The 17,297-nt window shown below is 45.2% G+C and overlaps 1 long non-coding RNA gene across 1 annotated transcript in view; it reads left to right on the top strand.

Moving 5' to 3' along the window:
* Positions 1 to 849: 849 nt before the first annotated feature.
* Positions 850 to 17,297, top strand: part of LOC105373161 (uncharacterized) — a 29,235-nt gene continuing 12,787 nt past the window's right edge. The window contains exon 1 of the long non-coding RNA XR_949247.1: positions 850 to 901. This is a non-coding gene — a long non-coding RNA (uncharacterized LOC105373161). The remainder of the gene's footprint in view (positions 902 to 17,297) is intronic.

Here is a 17,297-nt window from a genome sequence, read left to right as displayed (position 1 = left end):
AGAAGCCCAGGTGCCAGAGCAAAAACCCGTCTCAAAAAAAAGGGAGTTAGTTGTATGGTATGAAAATTATATCCCAATAAAGTTGTTTTTAAAAAGTAGTTTGCAAACTATAAAATAAAACACAAAAGTCAAATCTTTACTTATTATTAGTAAAACAGAATAAAAACATTAGGAATCATTTCAATTATTCTTAATAATTATTTATCATTCATTATTAATGATTAATTAATCATTATTTACATACAATTATTAATAATTATTATTTTACAATTATTTCTCAGCTGCTCTGAGAGGTTGCTGTTTAGAAACACAATTTCACAACAAAACCAGCTGCTCATTAGGAAGCTGCTTCAAACATTTTGGAGCTACCTAAACACGTAAACACTGTGATTGGGGTCAAGCTGATACTTTAGGATCACCTGTGTATGTAGTCCTCACACAAGGTCCTCTTGTTTGAACCAAATTTGATGTCTTCCATGGTCAAAGAAAACATTCTCTCGAATAGAACAGAGTTGCTTCACAACTCAGAAATCAAAGGCTCAACTTCCAATAAAAATGCTGTTCACAAAGCCACTTGACATTAAACTCTCAGCTCAATTTCCTGAAGAATCATCAGAGCCACAAGACGGAGAAAGTAATCACTCTTCTAGAGTCACTGCAATAATTGGCTAGAAACGTCTGCTGTTTTTAAATTGGCAAACATGAGCCCAAAAACATTCGGCAATTGAGTACCCACTTGCTGATTAGAATTTGATTATAAGCTTGAAGTGGGGTTGGGCAGAGGAAAGGAGAGGGCCCGGGTGTGGTGCCCTGAGGGGCCTCCTCCACTGCAACCTTATAGGAAATGCAGGTCAGCAAGACAAGAACATGGCCCCTTGCCTCATCCTTCTGATAACCACAGGTAACATCTGGTGCATATGCTTCCTGCAACACTGTGCGGTGTGTGTGTGTGTGTGTGTGTTGTGTGTGTGAAGTATTTATTTTACAAAAATGAAATAAGATTGTAAATACAGTTCTGTCACCTGTATTATTCACTTGGCAATATATTATGCAATCTATTAATATTTAAAATGAGTTTGGTAGTTGTCATGTATTCCATTGTATAATGTTACCTTAGGTTTACTCATCTCTTCTGGCTGGACATTTAAGATTTAAGTTTGGGTCATTTACTACAATAAACAAGTCTTCAGTGAAGCATTCTAATCTCTGTTCTGGATATATCTATGGCCTCTTCTGGCAGCTATTTTTACACTATAGGCTGAGGGGTACAAATTTTATAATTCTTAGCTGTGACAAAATTTTGTTCTGGAACCAGACATAGAAATATGAGCAGCTGATTGGTCAGGAATCTGGGCACGTGGTTTGAGAAATAGGCACCGGATAGCATTCTTTGAGAGCCAAGTATGTTTCAGATGTTTTCTAAGAGATAACATCCTAAATCCCCACATTACAGAAGAGGACACTGAGGCCAAGAGTACAGAGCAGAACTTATCTTGCTACCTCATAAAAAGAGGAAGAATGAAGTTGTGAGAGACTTGGGCAGGTGGGGATGGTTGAGGGGACTCAAGACCCAAGAACTAAGGGCCACAAGTGGCCGAGAAACATCCCCCATAGAAATGCCACCATATCCCACAGAGCACAGGCAGATTTCCTGAGGAGGTGGTGAATCCTAAGCGTCGGGCCCCTTCTGAGTGTGAAATAAAAATAAAATCTTGAGCCCTGCCAACAGAGCGAATGAACCCTGCTTGGCCAAGGATGCCCCAGAAAAAACTTGGAAAACTAAATTCCATGACAAGAAGGGAGGTCAGTGACACCTCAGTATACTTCCTTCCTTGTTAACTTATACTGGATTATTTCCTAAGAGTTAAACAGAAGCTAGCCCTGGAAAAACAAAAACAGAAGGTTTGCTCCATCGCTGACTTTAGCCAATCACCAGATGCCCCAGCCAGACTCCCGTCCCTTCTTGCAGCCTCGACATGGCAGCTCATCAGTTTCACAACACATTCTCCCTGATAAATAACCAGCGACCGTGGGCTGGTTCTGGCTGGTTTACAGAGGCTGCACACGAGATGCTTCTGTGTGCTTTGCTGCCCCTTTGATGTATAGAGCCTAACTTTAATGCATTTAAATGTTAAGTCTCCACCACAGAGTGATCATGGGGTATATGTAATATACATGTTTGCTTACCATGCATGTGTGCAACTTCCCCTCATGAATATGCATAGCTCCTCCTAAAACCTATTAAATATATATGTTTAGCCAACCCATTTGGCATAAATTCCTGTTCCATTCTTCCCTCCCTTAAAGTGCCTGCTTTCAGTCTCTGTTGGAGGTTCCACTTCTTAGCATGCAGAGTGGCCAGCCTGCAGGCCACAGTCCTGCTCTCCTCTCTAAATGTATGAATCTCACAATTTTTTTTTGACATGGAGTCTCGTTCTGTAACCCAGGCTGGAGTGCAGTGACGTGATCCTGGCTCACTGCAACCTCCATCTCCTGGGTTCAAGCGATTCTCCTGCCTCAACCTCCTGAGTCCCTGGGATTACAGGCATGCACCACCAAGCCCCACTAATTTTTGTATTTTCAGTAGAGACGAGGCTTCACCATGTTGGCCAGGCTGGTCTCAAACTCCTGACCTCAAGTGATTCACCCTCCTGGGCCTCCCAAAGTGCTGAGATTACAGGCATGAGCCACCACGCCCGGCCAAATCTCACAATTTTTTCAGTTGACACAAGGCTTCGGGATAAGCTCCTGCAATGTGTTTACATGGTTATATGCTTTGGTAAAATTTGCCAAAGTGAAATCACTTTTGTTCTTTTTCTTAAGGATGGCCCCATAAATGTATCTGCTTCATGCCCCACAAACCAGGGACTGATGATGCCAGAGGTCTGAGACAGAGCAAATGCAACTTTTCCCCTCCTCCCTCCAAGCACTTAGTTGGAGATATACAAAAAAGATTCCCAAGCTTGCTAAGTAAAGGAGTGAATGTGCAGAAAGCCAGATAAACTGAGGTGGCAGATGACACTTCATAGAGGAACTGGAGTCATATTCTTTACCCAATAGTGAGAGACCATGAGGCCCACAGGAGCTGGCAGGGCATGAAGAGGTCCTCTCAAAGAGGCAAGGTGTTCAAACCCTGCTCATCCACGTGGCAATCTTTGTACTTTAACAAAGGGCTAAAAACACCTTTGCAAAAATTATAGCAATGAGAAAATTATGACAGTGGAAGAGATCTGATCTAACCACCTCCATCTTGCCTGTAACCTCCAAACTGCACTGATCACTCCTGAGTGGACCAAACTAACTTAGGGAGAAACTTAGTTCATAGTTTAAACGATAATAGCCCTTTCCCAAAACTAAACCACATTAGTTAAACTAATGAAAGTCCACCAGGTTAGGAGAATGAGAGGGACCTGAATTCTGCTAAGATGTAGATGTAATTAAATGATAACAAGCCATAATTTTGGAGGTCACAAGATTTGCAACCTTCCTACTTCTGTAAATAACACCACTATTATGGAACCTAAGTTTGGCCTTTTGAGGTGTGTTTTCAGGCTTTTGCATTTCTGATGACCAGTGGCTCCACCTGGACCCGCAACTCTTGACTCAACCAGTCCTGTGGTCCCTACCCAGAAGTGGACTCAACACACAAGAACTGGTTTCCACACCCCTATGATTACCTCACCAACCAATCAGCAGCACCCATTCCCTAGCCCCCTGCAGGCCAAACTATCTTTGAAAACCCTTGCCTCCAAACATTCTGGAAGGATGATCTGAGTGATAATAAAACTCTGGTTTCCCATTTAGCCAGCTCTTTGTATATTAAACTCTTTCTCTGTTGCCACTCCCCTGTCTTGATAAATCAGCTTTATCTGGGCAGCTGGCAAGATGAACCCATTGGATGGTTACAGGGCTTTCACCAAACAATGCTGCTAACATTTATTTAGGTTCTGGCTTTTTATAGATTCTTTTTGTGATTCAGAACCAGATGTAAGGACAAATGACACATGCATTTAAAAAGAGCCCAAACTGCCACCACATCATATCTCCCAGAAGGACTGGGTCATTGTTCCTGCTTCTGAGTTCAATAACAAGTTATGACAGAGAAAAAGGTTGGGAGAGAAAAAAAAGTTATGTCACCAAAAGTCCAGCCTCCATGCTGTTGGGTGCTCGCAGGTAAAGTCAATTCAGGTGACCATCCCTGGGGGGGCTATTCTCCCTAGAGACACAGACATCTTGATAATATTCCTTAATTGGACATGACACAGTGGCTCTTTTAGCTTCCTGTAGCTGGAGGTTGTCATAGATTGTTTGAGAAAAGATTAAGCTGTGGTTAGGAAAGATTTCTGAGCCCAAATAAAAGTAATGATAATTGACCCTTTTGCAAACTTGGAGAGTTTATTTTTTAACCAAAAGTGCTTTCACTATATTTCAAGCCTGTTGGCTTCAATTGTAAAATTGCACCTACCTCTGACAATGACCCCTATTTCACCCCCATATTCCTGTTTGGCAAAGCAATATGGTTTAGTGTTCAAGAGCACTCTCCAAGCAAAGTTTTTCCCCTTACAGTTTTTGCAGCTTGCAGGCAGGTCTCAGTTGTAAGCACTTCTTGAATGTCACAGAGGCAAAGTGGCCCTGCCAGAAAAAAAAAAAAAAGTGTTTGTGAAAGGAGGAAGTCTGAGTCATCAGCTGCAGGTAGCTATTACCTATTGCAGCACAAGGATAATATCTTGGAGTCCAGGCAGACAAAACGAAGGCCTCATCCATCCTTGTCCTCTCATGGGACGTGGTGGCTGAACATAAGCCAGATAACTATGCACTGCATGAAGGCACAGCCTGGGAATGTCAGGGCCTTGGAGCTGAGCCACAGTCTACAGTAGGTTGTGCACCTGCTGTGGTCAGCAGAGGCAGGGCCATAGGGTCAGGCAGGCTGTGCATTGTAGCGATGGTGGTACTGAGAGGTGGCAGAGCAGGGTATCCCACCATGGGCCAAGAGAGGCATCTGGGATTCCAGGGTCAGGCAGAGCTGGTTGTTTATCCGGTGTGGTTGGCTTACAGCTGTTCTTACACATGAGGAAACTGAAGGTTCCAGAACTTGCTCCAGGTGACACAGCCAAGAAGTTGGCAGTCTAAGGGCTTCTACTATAATTGAGGCCACAAGGTAAATTTTCGTGAAGTGATGAGAGAACACTGAGGTCCACAAATGATGGGGCTAGGGGAAGGGAGAGCTGGGGCTGGAGCAGCCGTGGAAAGTTCCATCCACGAGAGTTTGAGTGAGCGGGAAAAACAGTGCCACAGATGCACCACAGCTGCAAGGGCACTGGCAGAATATGTTTGGTTTGATGTTTGGTGGCAAGAATAATAGACAGGAAGGAGAAGATTGTCAGCCTCTGTGTCTGAGTATGCTCAGGCTGCCATGACAAAGCACCACAGACCGAGAGGCTTAAACAGAAATGTATTTCCTCATGGTTCTGGAGGCTGGATGTCTGAGATCAAAATGTTGGCAGGGTTGGTTTCTCCTGAGGCCTCTCTCCTTGGCTGGCAGATGGCTGTCTTCTCCCTGTGTCCCCATGTGGTCTTCCTTCTGTGTGTGTCTGCGCCTTCATCTCCTCTTCTTATAAGGAGAGCAGTCCTTTGGATTAGGCCTCACCCTTACGACCTCATTTTAACTCAGTCACCTCTCTGAAGGCCTGTCTTCAAATACAGCCACATTCTGAGGTCCTGGGGGTTAGGATTTCAACATGTGAATTTAGGGAAGGGAGCAAGGGGGGACACACTTCAGCCCAAAACACTGACAGGGGACAAGTGAGCTCTGATAATGGCTGCCAAGTGCACAATTATGGCGGCCACCGTTGTGGTGGTTTCAAGGGCTGGAGCTCATCTCCTAATCCTTTCCTGCCAGGTTAGGAGGCATTTAAAGCTGTATCTTGTGTCCTGACCTCATGGGACTGTGTTGGGCAGCTTTGCAGAAGAAGCCTGGCCCTGGATGTAAACAACAGTGAGGTTTCATGTTCCAGCCCTTTCACACTCATCCCGACTCAGCCTTCACAGGCTCAGTTGGTGGCAGAGAAGTAACCTTGCCCTCAGTACACGGAGCATGGGCACTTCCAGCTGGACACACAGCAGACACTGTCTTCCATGAGAGCTGGTTTTCAAGGAGGTAGGAAGAAGTCCAGGCTTCCCGGGCCTCCAGCATGGTAGGTGTTTTCCCTCCAGTTTTCCCATTTGACCCCAAGCACAGCCCACAGTTAGAGATGACCCCTGTTTTTTTTTGTTTTTGTTTTGTTTTTTGTTGTTGTTGTTTGTTTTTTGTTTTTGTTTTTGTTTTTTTGAGACGGAGTCTTGCTCTTGTTTTTACAGATGGGCAAGCAAAGCTCAGTGAGGAAAATTAATGTCACAGAGCTTGCACATAACAGAGCAGAACTGTTCTGCTTTCTCTCTTTTAAAAAAAAAAAAATTTATTTCCATAGGTTATTGGGGGAACAGATGGTGTTTGGTTACCTGAGTAAGTTCTTTAGTGGTGATCTGTGAGATTTTGGTGCACCCATCACCAGAGCAGTGTACACTTTCATTAGCCCGACTATAACCCCATGTGTGCCCATTTGCCATGGAGTGAATGTTTTTGTCTACCCAAATTCCCATGCTGAATCCTAACCCCCAGTGTGATGGTGTTAGGAGCTGGCGCTGCTGAGGGTGATTAGGTCATGAGGGTAGAGCCTTCACGAATGGGGCTAGTGCCCTCATGAAGAAGCCTCAGAGAGCTCCTCCCCCTTCCACCATGTGGAGACTCAGCCAGAAGGTGCCACATATGAACCAGGAAGCAGGACCTCACCAGACACCAAATCTTCCTGTAACTTAATTTTAGACTTCCAAACTCTAGAACTGTAAGAAATAAATGTTTGTTGTTTATAAGCTACCCGGTCTATGGTATTTTGCATACAAACTAAAATGCCATTCTATTACAGCTACTTAGAGCAATTCCTCAAAAGATTTTATCGAATCTGACTTTTAGAATTTCCCCCTTCTCTTCCCCAAACACCAAGATCCACTCCCGCCCCCTGAGCTTCTCTCACCTTGCCTGCCATCCTGCACTTGACCTCGCCCCCCACCCCGTGCCCACTGTCCCTCCATCCACTCTGCCCCACCCCCCAACTCAACTCAGGCGCAGCCCCCTCATGAGGTTTCCCACACTCTGAGGGGTTTCCCCTCTTGTCCCGTGGCACCTGTTCCAGCTTCTTTGATGGCATTTATCACATTTTAATGAAACCTTTTGCTTATGACATCCTCACTACTAGACGGTTGTTTCTTAGGCTGACATGGAGTTTGGCTCCCTCTCAACCATCAGAGTATCAGCTCTCTAGCATCCAGCACATGGTCGGTGTTCACAGAGCTTCTAGAGTGAATGTTTGCACATAGGCTGCATGCCTTCCCAATTGTGGACCCCCTGCCTGATTTGACCCATAACCTTTCATGTCACCTGGCCTCGTATATGGTCTTGTAGAATTCCAAGCAATTCTCTCATAGCTCCATGCCCAGCCCACAACCCCAGACCTGCCATCTACCTTCTATCCCAGATGTGTCAGGCCATTCTTGTGTTGCTATAAAGGAATAACTGAGACTGGGTAATTTATAAAGAAAACAGGTGTAATTGGCTCATGGCTCTGCAGGCTGCACAAGCATGGTGCTGGCATCTGCCCAGCTTCTGAGGAGACTTCAGGGAGCTTTTACTCATGGCAGAAGGCAAAGTGGGAGCAGGCACATCACATGGCGAGAACAGGAGCAAGGGGCAGGGGGGGAGGTGCCACACCGTTTTAAACAACCAGATCTCACAAGAACTCACTCACTATGGCAAGGACAGCATCAAGCCAAGAGGGATCCACTGCCACAGCCCAAGGGCCTCCCAGCAGGTCCCACCTCCAGCAGTGGGGATTGCATTTCAACATGAGATTTGGAGGGGACACACATCCAAACCACATCATCAGGCTTGCCTTGATTTCACAGCCCCACTTCCCACTTTCGCCCTGTTCCTGCTGCCCCTCCAACTCCACCAGTCCAGAACTCATTGGATGGCTGGGAGAAACTGTGATTTCAGGTGTAGAAAGACGTCATGATTTGAGGCCTCCAAAGTAAACCTCCTTCCACAAGCTAAGCTCCAATAGCCACTGTATTAGAGAAACAATGAGGACTTTCCAGGTGGGCTTCCCTATCTGAGATGTCCAACAGAAAAATGCCGCACATCCAATACGTGATGCTGCGTAAGAATTCCATGGAAAGTGTTTATAATATAATGTTGTGATTAAAAAGTGGGTTACAATGAAGCATATGCAATATGATCCCATGTCCGTGCAGGCACACACACACATGTGTGCATGCCAGCACACACATACATACAATGATGGGAAAGCAACTACTAGAAAGTCTAATCACCATTACTTCTCAGTGTGGGATTTCTGTTCAGATTTAGCTTTTTAAAAACTTATCTGTGCTTCCTACATTTCCTACAGAAGACTGGTATTATTTTGCATTGAGTTGTAAAACAAACTTACTTTTTAAATCCCCAGATAAGATTATCTTAATGTATGCATTTTACAGATACTAAAATTTACTTACATGAGAAACTTGGTGTCACATTAGAACTTAAACAATCTGTCCAAACTCAATATTCCTATGACTCGACTTTAGATCTAGAAGGAGGAGGTGAAAGAAGTTAAAAGTTGACATGATTTGCATTGTTCTTCATCTGCTTTCTGATATTTCACTGGTTGCATAATGGAGAAGAGTAAAGGCGAGGTAAGTGTCTGGGCAGGTGCTGCGATAGACAATCTGGGGTGGCCCCTGCAGCTGGGGTTCGCACCGGCCCTGGGAGCCTCTTCATGGGCTCCAATGTCCAGCCATGTCGGCTCCTTGAAGTAACATTGGGCTTCCTCCCCCAGGAAAGAGAGCTGCACTGGCCTCAGCTTTCTAACTCTTCCAAGAGTCTACTCCTGGCCTTCTATCCTCCAGCCTCTTGGGGTAAGGACCTCTGCCCCGGCCAACAGCCCTCTGGCTGAGAGTATAGCAAAACAGCCTGGGCTCTGCCATGTTCTACAGTTTCCACTCAACCTGGGGGTGACAGATCCTGGCCACACTAGACTCAGCAAGCCAGCTGCCCCACAGCCATGCCCTCTCTCCTGCCATCCTTCTTTTCCAGCTCTCTTCTCCTCCACTCAAGCTGACCAACAAGCTCACTGCCTACACAAATGTCCAGCTGGCCATTCCAAGGCCTCCTGGGAGGTGGCCTTTAGCCCTGCACTTAGGAACAGGAGATGGTGCAAAGCACTGCCCTTTGGGACATGCTCATTGCTTTTACTAGGATCCCTTCAGACTTAGTTGCCCTGGGCTTGTATGCCCTTTAGGGAACACGCTGTCCTCTTCTCTTCTGACAGGAACCTCCAGCCTTGAGAAGTAACTCTGTTAAAGCCCCCTCATTTGGTTTCATGGGAAGAAGAGAATCACCTCTTAAACTGAGCACTGCACTTTCCACAGGGCACAGCCCCAGAGATCCTCTCCTGTCTGCTCTCCTCTTGGTCTTTTTCTTTGAGGTGGGGGGGTCCGTACTCTATTTTTTTTTAAATAATTTCAACTTTTATTTTAGATTGGGGGTTACGTGGGTATATTGTGTTATGCTAAGGTTTGGGGTATGACTGATCCGGTCACCCAGGTAGTTAGCATAGTTCCCAATAGGTAGTTTTGTAGCCCTTGCCTCCCTCCCACTCTCCCCTTTCTAGTAGTCCCTGGTGTCTACTGTTCCCGTCTTTATCACTACCCAGTGTTCAGCTCCCTTATGAGTAGAACATGCAGTCTTTGGTTTTCTGTTCCTGCACTAATTTACTTGGAAAAACAGCCTCCAGCTGCATCCATGTGCTGCAAAGGACATGATCGCATTCTTTTTCATGGCTGCATAGTATTCCACTGTGTATATGCAGCACATTTCCTTTATCCAGCCCACCTTTGATGGGTATGTAAGTCAATGCCCATATTGGTCTCTTCCTGTAGAAAGACAGGTGAGAAGTTGGCATGAGGGAGAGCCAGTGCTACTGCCCCTATTAAGCCCCGAGAGAGGTGCCCACCCAGGTTGTTGGCAGTCCCTGGCAGCTCTCTTGGGAATATGAGGCACTCTCAAGATTTGGCCCCTAGTTCCAGGACAAAAGGACACGGCCCAGCCCACAGTCTTGGGGAAATGGAGTGCTGCCTCTGGCAGGAAAGGCCAGGGAGGGACTGTGGGAAGACAACTGGGAGGAGGAAGTCCCTGAGTTCCCGCCCAGGGCAAGTGCAGGCAGCCATCTCCACAGAAAGGTTGGTGTCAGAGGGAAATGGAACACAAGGCTGTGGGTTTGTTTGTTTGTTTGTTTGTTTGTTTTGAGATGGAGTCTCGCTCTGTTGTCCAGGCTGGAGTGCAGTGGCGCAATCTTGGCTCACTGCAACCTCCACCTCCAGGGTTCAAGCGAGTCTCCTGCCTCAGCCTCCCGAGTAGCTGGGATTACAGGTGCCCACCACCACACCTGGCTAACTTTTGTATTTTTAGTAGAGATGGGGTTGGCCAGGCTGGTCTCGAGCTCCTGACCTCAAGTGATCCGCCTGCCTAGGCCTCCCAAATTGCTAGGATTACGGACATGGCCCACCGCGCCCGGCCCAAAGCCACGTTTTGTCTAGGGTCACACTGCAGGTGTCTCTCCGTGTCCCTCATCCTCTCTGTGTGTCTCGCCTACAGAAAGTGGCCCATCCACAGAGGCTCCATGGAGCGAGGGGAGGGTTGTCCTTCACGGATCAGGACAGGGCTGCTGAGGAAGCCGATTTCTGAGCCCAGGAACCCGCCCTCAACAGGAAAGGCAAATGGATGGTTTCAAAGCAGCAGCTCGAGCAGTCTGAGTTCTTGGCCCCTGCCCACCCCTCCAGCCCCACAGATAAGGGCAGCATCCAGAATGGCTGTAAATTGCTCTGAAAGTGCGAGGTGTGTATTAATAACCCTGCGGAGCTCTCTGGTGCTATATAAATGCTAAGTAGAACAGAAATTACTTTGGAGTGTTCTCGCACCTGAATGATCTCCCAGATATAACTGCTTTTGATCAGTCATCAACACAACTTTTAAAATAAAGCCGTCTCAGCCCTTTCAGTTCTGACCACAAGATGAAACATATCGAACCAAAGGTTAAACTCCAATTGATTAAGGTCTCTCTCCGGCTTTTTCCTCTTCTGGGTCCTCTTTATAGCAGTGAATCTAAGATTAGACACCAGGTTGCTTTTGTTGCTGTGGTTGCTGGTGCTGTTAGAACAGATATTCCCCTCCCCAGGTGAATAGACCAGAATTGGATTTTACATACATTATTTGAACTAAGGTGAACAAAATACATTTCTCACCCACTCAAGTTGCCCCTCATAATCTGAGGGACATGAAAGGTTTCAATCAGGTTTCCGGTGATCTTATTTTGATTAAATGTAAGAGTTTCATTTTCCCAGAGTTGCTTCAGGTTTTACTGTGTTTATATTGTAATTCTGTGTATTTAGAGATGGTTGTAGGCATGCATTTGACGTGGAGGGATTTCTATTTTCTTAGCCATCTTGATGTCTTGCCAAGCACTCCCACACACTTTTCATCTTTCTGTGGCCACAGGCAGAGCATGACAGGTGTCTGTATCAAACCCTCTAACCTCTAATCCTCCTAACACATCTCCCCCACCTTCATTTCCACCTTTAGGAATACTCCATCCTACATCTCATTCTCTGCATCTCATTCTCTGAGCCCTTCCTCTTATTCCGCTGTGGTTGTGTTTTGTTGCTGTTGTTGTTGTTTTAGAGACAGGGTCTTGCTCTGTTGCCCAGGCTGGAGTGTAGTGGCATGATCATAGCTCACTGCAGCCTTGAACTCCCGGCTCAAGCAATCCTCCCACCTCAGCATCCTGAGTAGCTAAGACTACAGGCGTGCAGGCGTGCGTGGAGTCACGCCTGACTCTACGAAGCCGTCTAACTCTGGGACTATGACTCCAAGGTATGCCTTATGTCTTGCTCTTCCTGCTCCTCATAAGCAGAACTGAGCCTTTTTAACATTTCTGCATTCTTACACTCATGTCGGACTCTGGGAAAAATGAGGTTTCCAGCTTATCTCTTTGTTTCCATCCATCTCTCTTTCTCTACTCTTCCCTACTTCCTATCCTGAATGGTAATATCATTAAACTGCATCAGCTTAAAAGAAGGACATTTGAAATCCCTTGGCTAATCTTGCTTGTGATTTAGTGTCTCAGGAAATTGAAGATGTACTTAGAAAAATTGCTATCAGAGGCCAAAATTTGACCAACAGAAAATAAAAAATGGATTGATGAAGTGGAAGTGGCAGGCATTTTTGGTCAAAATAGTGTCTTTATTGTTTGTATAAAATAAACGTCGAATCACTATTAAAAATCCAAACAATAAAGAAGAGAAGAAAATAACAAATTACTCAAAATCCTATCAGCGGTAACACTTGGTGACATCGCTCCAAACATCTTTCTTTGCCTACGTGTATAAAACATTTAGATGGATGGATTTAAAAATGGCTAGAAAATGCTGCTTCCAGGATGCTAGTTCTTGAAATATCCCATCATATTTAAGAAATAAGACTACAAGGCCAGGGGTGGTGGTTCATGCCTGTAATCCCAGCATTTTGGGAGGCTAAGGCGGGCGGATCACCTGAGGTCAGGAGTTCAAGACCAGCCTGGCTAACATGGTGAAACCCTGTCTCTACTAAAACTACAAAAAATTGGCTGGGCATGGTGGTGGGCACCTGTAATCCCAACTACTTGGGAGGCCAAGGCAGGAGGATCACTTGAACCTGAGAGGTGAGATTGCAGTGAGCTGAGATTGCACCACTGCACTCCAGCCTAGGTGAGAGTGAGACTCTGTTTCAGAAAAAGAAAGGAAAGGAAAGGAAGGGAAAGGAAAGGAGAGGAGAGGAAAGGAGGAAGAAAGAAAGGAAAGGAAAGGAAAGAAAGAAAGAAAGAAAGAAAGAAAGAAAGAAAGAAAGAAAGAAAGAAAGAAAGAAAGAACTACAAAAGTCATTGAAAAGTTGAAGTCATTTTTTAACTACATGTTTCAGCTTCCTTATTCTGACAATACTGATTACCTGCTCTGAAAGATGAGATATCTAGTATTCTTGAGACTTCCTTCAATACCCTCTTGTCCTGACTTCCCAATATTTTGTTCTGTGTATTATTATTACATTCAAAGGGTTCAAGATATTCATGTCCTATTGTGTGATTCTGACTCCCCAGTTGCTTAATCTTAATTCTGCAGTTAAATGAAGTCAATATTCAGTATCAGGGCTGGTTTCATAACCACAACTCAACTTTTCCATTCCTAAATTTTTTTTTTTTTTATACAAGGTCTCACTCTGTTGTCCAGGCTGGAGTGCAGGGCAGTGGCATGATCTCAGCTCACTGCAGCCTCTGCCTCCTGGGTTCAAGCAATTCTCCCACCTCAGCCTCCTGAATAGCTGGGGTTACAGGGGCATGCCACCACACCTGGTTGTTTAATTTTTTCATTTTTAGTGGAGACTAGGTTTTACCACATCAGCCAGGCTGGTCTTGAACTCCCGACCTCAGGTGATCCACCTGCCTCGGCCTCCCAAAGTGCTGGGATTACAGGAGTGAGCCACCTTACCTGGCCCCATTCTTAAATTCTTAATGTTGATTCACCTCTCAAGCAGTTGAATTTTATCACTGGGAAGTTTTTAATCAAGAAGCTTATGAGGCTTATATACTTAGACTTTTTTATGTTTGTGAATGGCCACCTGTTGTCTCTATACTTCACTGACAGCTGGGGATACTATTCTTGAGTAACTCTTTCTTTTAAAATTGAATGGGTATTGCTCCACTTCTTCTTTATGCTCTTTTAAAAAATGAGTTTATATTCCTAAGTTTGCCTATAATGCGAAATACTCATGGGGAATATGATTCTGGTCTAAGGATCATATTTTCTTCCAGACTGGATTCTTCTTCTGTATTTTGAATGCAATATAATGTTCCTTTCTTTTACTCACATGCGTGTTGAGGTGGTGGGGGAGGTTTGCAGACTTGCCACGCCATTTCTTTACATCTTGTTCATCCTTAACATGGACAGTTCTGTCCAAAGCTTCTAATATTTTGATACATTAAGAGTGACTTTTCCTTGATATACATCTCACCTTACCTTGAACCAGTTGGTTCCTTCTCCCTACCCCCACTTCACCCCCAAGAATTACCATTGTGGGTATTGCTTTCTACCCACTCTTCTGAAGTCTGAGAGTATGGGAGTTGGGGAGGGGGAGAGGTTGCCATCGGGGAAACTAGACTCTGCTTTCTCTCTTTTGAGATCTCATGAAATGCCCTGTATTAAATGCCCACTTCATCCAGCTGGAGAGATGTTCCCTTCCTTCCTTCCTTCCTTCTTTCCCTCCTTTCTTTCTTTGTTTCATTCTTTCTTTCGTCCTTTCTTCTGTTCTTTCTTCCTTTCTTTCTTTCGAGGTCAGAGTCTCACTCTGTCGCCCAGGCTGGAGTGCAGTGGCACAATCAGCTCACTGCAACCTCTGCCTCCCAAGCTCAAGCTGTCCTCCCATCTCACCTCCCGAGTAGCTGGGACCACAGACATGAGCCACCACACCTGGCTGACTTTTATACTTTTTGCAGAGATGGGGTGTCATCATGTTGTCCAGGCTGGTCTCAAACTCCCAAGTTTAAGGGATCTACCCACCTCAGCCTCCCAAAGTGCTGGGATTACAGGCATGAGCTACCATGGCCAGCTGAGATTTCCCATTTTTATGAGCTCCTGTTCATTCCTCCTACTCAGCCCAGATCTGTGGGAAATTTCTGAGCTCTGGCACTCTGACCATTTCACTTTACACTTTTAATAAGTGTAACATTTAAATGAGGATAATGCTAGGCATTTCCGACATGGACCCTAGACCTTTCAGTCTTATGTTTACACATTTCATAAACATTTACTCTATAAAAAACACTCAAGCAGGCGTGATAGAGGGTACTCTGTTTCTCTATTGCCTTCAACTCTTACCTCCTTTCCCTTTTCCCCCTTGCCTTCCCCAGCCTGTGAACCTTGACTAACCAACAAACTGCAAAGCTTTCAAAAGTCATTCGTGAAAGTACTGTTCTAACCGTTATCAGGATGAGACCGCACCACAATCCTGAGCAAGAAGTGTGAAAACCAGGACAGCCTCCACTGCAAGTTTCATAGCAGTTAAAGACAAAAGCTTTTCCTGGCCCAAATCACTAGGGCACATCTGCCTGCCTCCTCCTCACCCTATACAGCTACAGCCTTGCTTTGATTGGGAAATTACCTGGTCTTCAGAGGCTCCTTAATTGCATCAGCTAAATGAAGGCTTTGACCTCTATTTGAGTTGCCTCAATTATTTTCCTTGGGCTGGGGGCAGTGGCTCACACCTGTAATCTCAGCACTTTGAGAGGCCAAGGTGGGTGCATCACCTGAGGTCAGGAGTTCGAGACCAGCCTGGCCAACATGGTGAACCCCTATCTCTACTAAAAATATAAAAAATTAGCCGGGCATGGTGGCACGTGCCTGCAATCCCAGCTACTGGGGAGGCTGAGGCAGGAGAATCGCTTGAACCTGGGAGGCAGAGGTTGCAGTGAGCCAAGATTGCACCATTGCCCTCCAGCCTGGGGGAAAGAACGAAACTCAGTATCTATCTATCTATCTATCTATCTATCTATCTATCTATCTATATAATTTTCCTTGGACAACTTCCTGGAAGGCATAATGTCAGGCCCTGAGCATGCAAACGTGGATAAGACATGCTCTAGGTGAGGAAGACAAACATCAGTGAATAAATACAATGCAGAAATATGGAGATGATTCTTTCCCTTTCTGAAAGTGTTGACAGGTGAATAAAACAAATTACCAGGAAAATGTGACATCTTCACAAAAGAATTTCCACAAGCTCACAAACCTCAAGGGGCAAGACATCAGAGGCAAGACCTGGATTGTAGCTGGGACCTGGGCCAGATGCTAGGCCAGCTTATACACTGTCTGCATCAACCATGCATCCAGGCACAGGCCTAATTTCAAATTGGGTCCCCATCAGTGCTCTTGAATTTTGTACAACCATGTTTCCTTATCACTGGAACAGGAAATATGGTTCCCATATCTGTCACACACAGAATCTTTTGAGAGATTGCTTCTCTGTGAAGTATCATTTCTTCCTAAGTCCATTCACCTGCACTGTCCTCAGAAACTATTCCCAGCAGTGTGCTCCTCTGGAAGTCACCACTTGCAGTTCCAGTGGGGTAGGCTAGGGCAGCACGTACGGCTCTACATGCTACAGGAGTTGCGTATTGAACAAAAGAATGAGACAAGGATAAATTCTTCTAAATCCCTTGAGGCATCCCAGAAGTTTATTTATGGGTTGGCTGATTTGTTTTGATGGATGGCTCTGCGCAGTTGCGGCTCACTTAATCTGACACTGCTGAGATTTGTGAAAAGGAGTGATTGGCTCATAAGAGAAACATGGCCCAATTGTGTTTGTGTTGCCATTGATCTCAATAGCCAGATGCACTGAACAGGTTTAGAGGCACAGTTGCCTTGGGCAAAGGAACAGAATTTGATTTTCCTGTGAAGCAAGAAAATAGGCAAAATTTTACTCTAACCAACTCTCAACAAGCTCATAATAGAAGGTTCTGTAATTGCTGAAAGAGGAGGCTTAGAATTCCATGGTGCAACTAATCACTACTCCTGCAGAGAAGAGATGGGAGAGCAAATGCTGCTTTTCTCTTACAGGAATAATGACTTCAGACCAATTCCTCTGGCTTTCCTTAAAAAAAATGGCAGCCATCCTGGAAGTATTCGGAAAAGCTATCCTAACTAATCTGCTAATGTTGATTGTCAGATTGACCAAAAGAAAGAAACTTAGACACATGAGTAGAATTAGGACCGGTCAGCAGTTAGAGTTCACTTGGCTTCCTTTCAAAGCCAATCAAGAGCCTTTCAAATGCCACAGAACCCCATTAATGTGAAGCTCCTTCTGTGAAAAAATGAGCCCCCACTCAGGGGAGCCCACAAACTGAAGCTTTCTGCAAATGGCTTCCTGCTGTCATTTCCTTGGGTAACTGCTTGCAAAATACTATGTATGATGCCATATGGGTGGAAGGAAAATGCATGAATTTCTTCTCTGAAGGGACATGTGTTTTGGGGAGCTCAGCACTGTCCCAAGGCTTTTACACAGCTTCTCAACACCCGAGAGATTGCTTCGGGCTTCTCGACTCGCCTTCCTAGGAGTCTTCGTC

The sequence above is a fragment of the Homo sapiens genome, chromosome 1 (assembly GCF_000001405.40).
Source record: "Homo sapiens chromosome 1, GRCh38.p14 Primary Assembly".
Lineage (NCBI taxonomy): Eukaryota > Metazoa > Chordata > Mammalia > Primates > Hominidae > Homo > Homo sapiens.
This window is presented reverse-complemented; position numbering and strand designations above follow the sequence as displayed.